Genomic DNA, 8,413 nt, shown 5'->3' on the forward strand with positions numbered 1-8,413 from the left:
CCCTTTCTTGTGTTTACATCTTCCATAAGCCGTTACAGATCATCTTAGTTCTTTTAAATCCAGGTAAGTCTTCATATTTATCTACAGTTATCTGGGTAGCGGACTATACTTCAAACTGCAGGATGTCAGGGAAAAAATAATAAATTAAAACTCAGAGCTCCGGCCCTGAGTCATCCTGTCTGACGGAGTTTCATAAAAAGTTAAATCAGTAAAGAATACAAATATATAAAAGAAAGAACTGATCTTCAAAACAGATCTAAAATCTCAATGCATTTAATATCCATCCTCGCAAAGTAATCATTTAATCTGATAAGCAAGTTTTACATTAATGATATCAAGATCAAATTCATGGGTGTTCTAGATAGATACATCCATGAATTTCTGTCCAAGAATAAGTCATTCTGCCTTCTAAAGACTGTAGGCTTTTTAAGAAAATGGATTTGAAGTGTGTTATTCATTAATTCACTCATTCATTCAACAAATATTTAAATGTCAGGGCCAATGATTAAAAACAGACTGAGGCAGCTGTCACCACAGAGGAGTTCAGACTCTAGTGGAGGGACCAAGACCTAAGTAAGTAAGTTACTAAGACAAGTATAAACAATGTGGCAGAGAATAATAAAAATAAGCACATAAGCTGGGTGCGGTGGCTCACACCTGTAACCCCAGCACTTTGGGAGGCCAAGGTGAGCAGATTGCTTGAGCCCAGGAGTTCGAGACCAGCTTGGGCAACATAGTGAAACCCATCTCTATGAAAAATACAAAAATTATTTGGGCATGGTGGTGCCTATAGCCCCAGTTACTTGGGTGGCTGAGATGGGAGGATATCTTGAACCCAGCACCTTGAGGCTGCAGTGAGCCATGATCAAACCACTGTACTCCAGCCTGGGCAACAGAGTAAGACCCTATCTCAAAGTAAATAAATGAATAAACAAATAAGCACATGGTAGCACAGGCTGCCCCCTCAAGGCTCTTCTGCAGGAAATTAACAAAATTGTTGAGTAGGGATAAGCATCATTCCTGTGAAGAGAGAGGTCAATCAGGTGGGGTGCAGAATGGGCCAACTTCCAGAAACAAGCAGAGGGTTAAGCATAGCTTGCCGGTGGGTCAGGGATAGCTCTACAAGCAGTTACACTCTGCCCAAGCATAAAATGGAAGCATGGAGTAGCATGAGAGAGGCTAGGGCCAAATTATACAGGGCTGTGTGCTTTTCTAAAGAGTTTGAAGTTTATCCATAAAGCAAACAGAATCCAATGAAGAAGACCTTTGCTTAGGGTGAACATACGTCCCAGCATGGCCAAGGTTGTTCCAGTTCATGCCTGTTGCCTTCATGTAAGTATTAATAGTGTTCACTTTCACATTCAGAGGTTTCCTGTTCATCCTAGTTATGTTAGGTCTACTTCCAGTGGAACTTAGGTCATTGAAAATCTGCTTAAGAAGGCAGTAGCTGAAAATGGAAAGAAAGAAAAACACTCTTTGTCACCTTCAAAGAGTTTGATCAATACTAAATTAAATAGTGGAAAATCAAGTGCAAAATTTTTATCAAATACAACCAGTAGCATTTTTATAGAGTTTTTTTGTAATGGGAAATTCAAAAATATAGATTCTAAAAACTATTTTTTATGTTTCTTTTGTAAGAGATTTTTTGAAATGGTACATGTTGTCTATAAAAGGAATGCATAAACATGGTAAAAATATGTATATATATTTTATAAAAGGAAAAATTAAAGTCTGTCTTCCCTCCCCAACTCTGGCCCACCATATGAATTAATCATTTTACTAAACTGAACTGGAGGAAGAGACAAAACCTTGAAATGATGATCAGTTAGGTTTGGGGTTAGACTAAACTGGACATTTTAGCATCCAGGAACATGATTTTCTAACACCTGAAAGTGGCAGGAAAGGGTTGGGATCTGCCAGGGTTACTCTTAAAGAGTACAGAGGATGAACCTAATTAGGTAACATCAGAGAACAGCTCTTTTTATTCCTTTCCTACTGCCTTCAAACATTCCTGTAATAACCATATTCTCTCATTTCTGTATTTGATGCTTTGGCATCTAGGCCTTGCTGACCTGGGATGGGAGTGCCCCTCCCAGATTTTGCCATATCTAGAGATAATAAAGAACTTCCCTGAAAGCATGCCTTCCATATGCAACCAACCCAGAGCCCCTGCCCCTAATCACTTCCTTTATTGAAATCTTGTAATCACCTTGCCCACTGCCTAGACAGAGCTGATTTATCAAGACAGCGGAATTGCAATAGAGAAAGAGTAATTCACACAGAGTGGGCTGTGTGGAGACAGGAATTTTATTATTACTAAAATCAGTCTCCCCCAGCATTTGGGGAGCAGAGTTTTTGTTTGTTTGTTTGTTTGTTTGTTTTTGAGACAGAGTCTCACTCTGTAGCCCAGGCTGGAGTGCAGTGGCTCTGTCTTGGCTCACTGCAACCTCCACCCCTCAGGTTCAAGCAATTCTCCTGCCTCAGCCTCCTGAGTAGCTGGGATTACAGGCATGCGCCACCATGCCCGGCTAGTTTTTGTATTTTTAGTAGAGAATACTAACCCAAGCAGATGCTGCCACTTTCAGATATTAGAAAAGTCATGTTCTTAGATGTTAAAATGTCCAGTTCAGTCTAACCAAAATCCTACCATCATTTCAAGGCTCTTTTCCTTCCTCCAGTTCAGGCCTGACCCACACTCAGGACAGCAGTGGAGAAAGATGGAATGATCTTGCTCTTTCCAATTTTCTTCCCTTCTTACTGCAGGATCATCTGATGCAGAGGAAGGGAAAGGAGGTATCAGAGGAGAAAGGAGCAAAGGAATTTTCACTTAGGTCATGTTGGTGGTTCTCCTTTGGCCAACAATAGTTGCCTGGGCCCTTTAATGTGGCAGGTGTTCATTGACAGCGTTGATGAACAAAAGCCACACACAAAGCTGCAGAGATCTCCAAATTGCACCCTTTCCTGACATGAGCAATGCACTTAAATCACCTTCCAGGTGTTATCTCATCACCACCCCCACCCAACTCTATCCTCTGGCAGTACACCCCATGGCCTCTTCCTGCCAAGGCCTCCTCACTCAGGAAGACAAAGATCTTTCAAGCAGACTTGAGGCTTGCCACCTGCCTGGCATCCATTTAGCCCTTGATGCCCTGTCCTCTAAATGCGGCTTTCCCTCATAGCTGCCCTCAGCTGCCAGAGGAAACTTCAGTCAGCCTCTCCTTGTCTTTAAAATTATCGAGGTGACCAGTAAGCACTGGTCTCTGGAGTCACGCATGCTCCCAAACTCCAGGAAAGCACTCCCACCACGTTATTTAAACTATTTAAAGAAGAAAACCCTCCCAATAATTCTCTCACCAAACTACTCCAGTTCCATGGAGCTGTGACTCCACAACTCAGAGAGCATCCGTCAAGGATGGCTCTAGGCTTGATGATGGCAGGGGAAGTCCCTTGGAGATTCCGTCATCACAGTCATGTGTCCTTCCACAAATAGCCTTCTGTGAAGTAAGCTGTTGCGGGCAATGGTAGCTGTGCCAGTCTGGCTGCCCAGTAGCCAATCCTTAGCAAATAGTGAATCTCTAACACTTCTCTTTAGAATGTGGGGATACTTGGGTCAGGCGCGGTGGCTCGTGCCTGTAATCACAGCACTTTGGGAGGCCGAGGCGGGTGGATCACCTGAGCTCAAGGAGTTCAAGACCAGCCTGGCCAACATGGCAAAGCACCATCTCTACTAAAAATACAAAAAAAAATGAGCCGGGCATGGTGGCAGCCACCTGTAATCCCAGCTACTAGGGAGGCTGAGGCAGGAGAATCACTTGAACCCAGGAGGCAGAAGTTGCAGTGAGCCGAGATCGCGCCACTGCACTCCAGCCTGGGCGACAAAGGAAGACTCCACCAAAAAAAAAAAAAAGAAAAAGAATGTGGGGATACTTTAACCATTTTCCTCTGCTTTGAGAGTTTAGCTAAAATTCTGAACCAATGGGAAATTTCCTTTGTATATCTTGTTATAACAGAAATGAGTTACCCACTTTGGAAGTAGCCACAAAGTCTATAACACTCAGAGTAAAATCGAAGCCACTGGACAAAATGCCAGTCATAAAGACCCAGAAGTGTGTCTGCAGTATCAATGCTTCTACTCCCAGAAAGTAGATAAGATTGGGATGGAGAGGATGTAAAAGAAAGCAGAAGGGCCTATCAGAAATGTGAGGAAGAACTGGACAAAACCCAAGGAAAGGGTAGAGGAAGACCTTTCCATCCCAATAAAAAGAATGGAGTGGAACCTGACTCGACCCAAGCTGTCACTCACGTTAACATCCAAGGAGCATTTACCACCCATCATCAATGAGTATTTAGTTTGAGAAAATGCTCACCAATCTCTGGAAACTTGACATGTTGTGAGATTGTTCTGGTGGAGGATGTCCAGGTTCTTGGCATCTTGAACAAAACGCACAAATGAAGCATGGAAAGAATGAAGCAACAAAAGCAAAGATTTACTGAAAACAAAAGTACACTCCACAGGATGGGAGCGGGCCTGAGCAAGTAGCTCAAGAGCCCAGTTACAGAATTTTCCGGGGTTTATATACACTCTAGAGGTTTCCAGTGGTTACTTGGTGTGTGCCCTATGTAAATGAAGAAGCTAAAGTGAAGTTACAAAGTTATTTATTTGGTGTATGCCCTATATAAATGAAGAGGATATTTCCTGTCATAGCTAAAGTGTTTCGTTTGATTTAGTTCTAGGAAGTCCTTAGGTTCCCTGCCTCCAGGCCCTATTCTCTTGCCTCAGGATGACAGTATCACAATGGGAAAGCCTCATCTTCTGACCAAGACAGGACCAGGCAGAACTATCTAGAAACTGCAGTACAAACCAGAAGGGCAGTGTGGGCCTTGCTTCATTTTGTATTTGGACTATGCATGACATAAAGTTTTTTTTACCTTCTAATTGTCTTCCTTTTATTATTTTGATGACTATAGAGAAATACACTTTCAGGATATTAAGATGCTCTGTGTTTTTAATTACACAAGTTGGGGATGGACACCATTTTTTAAAAGATGTTCTTTACAGAGCCTGTGCTTCCTGTTCTATTATGTGCTATTATTGCATTCTGTTCTTTCAAGGAAAGCAGTTGCAGGATGACTCCTGGCCTCAAGTGATCTTCCCACTTCTGCCTCCTAAAGTGCTGGGATTACAGGCATGAATCCCAAATGTAGCTGCAGGATGGCTGCAACTGATTTCCACTGAACTCCTGGTTTCTGTTTCTGAATGCTGTATCTTTTTAAGTTCTTTATTTTTTTTTTCTAGTAAACATCCCTGGGTAATTTTTTTAATGGAAAAAAATGACTTTATTTTGAAAATATTGGAAAATGTCTTTATTTTTTCCCTGTACTGGATTGATAGTTTTGCTGGGTAACAAATTCTAGGTACAGAGTCATTTTCTATCAAAAGTTTGAAAGTATTGCTTGTGTCCTCAGTATCCATATTTGTTGATGAGACATTTAACAATCACATTTTTATTTAAAATGGTATGTTCTTTTATTCTCTCTTCACACATCTGTGATTTTTCTCTTTGTCCTTGGAATTTTGTGACTTATTTGTGCCCCCTGACAAGCTCCCTAAAGTGCTTTTATTTAGTAATTTTTTTTAGAGACAGGGTCTCACTCTTTTACCCAGGCTGGAGTGCAGTGTCACAATCATAGTTCAGTGTAACCTTGGACTCCTGGGCTCAAGCAATCCTCCCACCTTAGCCTCACTGAGTTGCTAGGACTACAGGCACATGCCACCATGTCCAGCTAAGTTTTTTTTCATTTTTGTAGAAACGAGGTCTCGCTATGTTGCAGTTTGGTCTCAAACTCCTGGCCTCAAATGACCCTCCCACCTCTGCTTCCCAAAGTGCCAGGATTACAGGAATGAAACCCAAATGTAGTATTTCTATCATACAAGATTGTAACTTCACCTTCCTGACATTATGACTTGGGGAATCTAACTCATGACAAAGCCCATAGTTATTTGATACTCCCATTGTCAGGCACTCAATTTCTACTGTGGTAGCATTCTAGAAGCTGTTTTTCAAATGGTGAGTACCTCTCTGATATGCTAATTTGTGCTCATTCTAGACTTCTTTCCTGCATACCTCTTACTGGGGCTTTCCAGAAACTCTGCACATCATCCCTACCTAGCATGATTACTCCTAATTCCATTGGATATGCCTGGTCTTCTGGCCTAAGCAGTAAAGTAGCTTGCACTACAGGCTGCACCTGCTTCTGAGCCTTCTTTGAGCTCCACTCAAAATAGTCTCCCAACTTACCTAAGAAATTAGTCAAAGCAGTATTCTGAAGTAGAATATGTACTGTCACTACAGTCCAAAGAGGCCCATTGCTACTGTGCTCTTTTTTGGGGGTGAAAAGTTTGAAGTACGATAACATTTGCTTTACCTTAAAGGGGATATCCCTGCATAGCCCAAACCATTGAGTCCCTAAAATCTTCATAAGTATGGCAGACCCCTAAATCATTGTAGGATTTATCTCTCAGGCTATGACGCAAGACCCATGGGTCTTGCCAAGGTATCCAGAATACTTCCCACTTCCTTGCACCAACACAATTAACATGATGTCATCAATATAATAAATACTATGATGCTCTGTGGAATGTTAAGATACACAAAGTTCCTTCCTACTATACTGTGACAAAAACCTGAAGAGTTAACATAACCTTGCAGCATGGAATATATTTTGCTATCTTTTCTGCATAAATGTCCTCTGCTTTGATCCTCTTTCCAGATGGGAAAAGAAAACATCTGCCAGATCAACAACTGAAACTGCCATTGCAAAATTATAACTGAGACAGTGAAAGAGGTCTGACCTAACCGACTCCATCTTGCTTCTAACCTCCAAGCTGTCCTTGTTCGTTCCTGGGTGTAGGCTGATCTAACTTTGGGAGAAACTTAGTTTACAATTTACAACAAAGATGATAACAGCCCTCTCCCAAAACAAATCCCCTTCTTTCCTGGGAACTAGACTGCCTTTGTAGGACTAACGAATTAGCCAAAAGATTAGAAATTATAGTTTAGGAGTCATACAGCTGGAGGCTACAAGATTCTGAATCTCCTCAAATTTCTCTTGGGGATAACATGACTCTTACAAAGCCTAAGATCAGTGTTTGAGATATTTTGCAGACTCTGCACTCGATGGATCAGCTGGCACCACTCAGATCGATAAACTGGCTCATCTGAACTTGTAGCCCTCACCCAGGAACCGACTCAGTGCAAGACAGCTTCGACTCCCTGTGATTTCATCTCCGACCAAATCAGTCAGCATCCACAAATCATTGGCTGCCACCCACTCACCAAATTATCCTTAAAACATCTGATCCTCAAATGCTCGGGGAGACTGATCTGAGTAATAACAAAACTCAGTTCTCCCTCACAGCCAGCTCTGTGTGAATTACTTTCTTTATCACAATTCCCCTGTCTTGATAAATCAGCTCTGTCTAGGGAGTGGGCAAGGTGAACCCACTGGGCAGTTACTCAACCACATACCAAGTGCCAGAGGCTGGACCTGGACCTGTGATACTATGCTCTAATAAGATACTGCTTTGGGGGCTACCACTGGGCTCAGTTCATCATCACCCATCTTGATCCATCTGATTTTTTTCAGGGGTGATAGCAGTAAACTGAATGGGAATATGATAGGAACCACCACTCCTGCATTCTTTAAATATTGAAAAATGGTATTAATTTCTGCAATTCCACCCAGGATATAATATTGCTCTGATTTATTGTCTTGGCTTGGAGAAACAATCTCGGGGATGATAGGATTTTAGAATAGCAGAAGCCAACTAGTTGCTTTAACCAATTGGCTCTTCCTACCATAAGGGTTCTTACTCACAGGTCAGTGAAACAATATGAGCATTCTTCCAATTGCAAAGAATATCAATCCCAGTTATGCCCAAGAGGACTGGGGAAATGATCACAGGTTGGGTCTCTGGACCCATTGTACATATTGTAACATAGATCTAGGCTAAGACTCCACATGTCTCCTCTGTAATCATGGAGCCAAGAAAGCATTTTCAGATCCCCTGATATCAGCATCAGTTCAGATCCTATGTCCAAAAGCTCTCAAAAGTCTTCCTCTTTCTATAGCATACAATTACTCTGTTAAACAGCTACAGTTTCCTTTGAGTTAGGATTGATATATTGTATATGCTTGCAGTGACATTGAGGGGTCTTTCATTAGGCAGACACAGCCTCTCCAATTGGTGGTCTCTGATCAAAAGAATTAACTAAGCTGGAAACTGGACCAGAGATTGCAGGTTTCCACTATGGTAGCTGATATCAGTTTTCTTCACAGCAACTCTTGATTTTTTTTTTTCTGATTGTATAAGCCAAGCAATGTGCTAGCTCACTCTTTATCTCATTTGCCC

General features: G+C 41.8%; 1 long non-coding RNA gene across 1 annotated transcript; it reads right to left on the bottom strand.

Annotated features, from left to right (window-relative positions):
* Window positions 1–1,369: 1,369 nt before the first annotated feature.
* LOC124900796 (uncharacterized) lies at window positions 1,370–6,512 on the bottom strand. Its single transcript, XR_007058321.1, has 3 exons — window positions 6,427–6,512; window positions 4,368–4,431; window positions 1,370–1,447 (listed from the first exon to the last, which is right to left on the bottom strand). It is a non-coding gene; the product is annotated as an uncharacterized LOC124900796 (long non-coding RNA).
* Between the last annotated feature and the right edge of the window lie 1,901 nt (window positions 6,513–8,413).

This window comes from Homo sapiens, chromosome 4, assembly GCF_000001405.40.
Source record: "Homo sapiens chromosome 4, GRCh38.p14 Primary Assembly".
NCBI classification, from domain to species: Eukaryota; Metazoa; Chordata; class Mammalia; order Primates; family Hominidae; genus Homo; species Homo sapiens.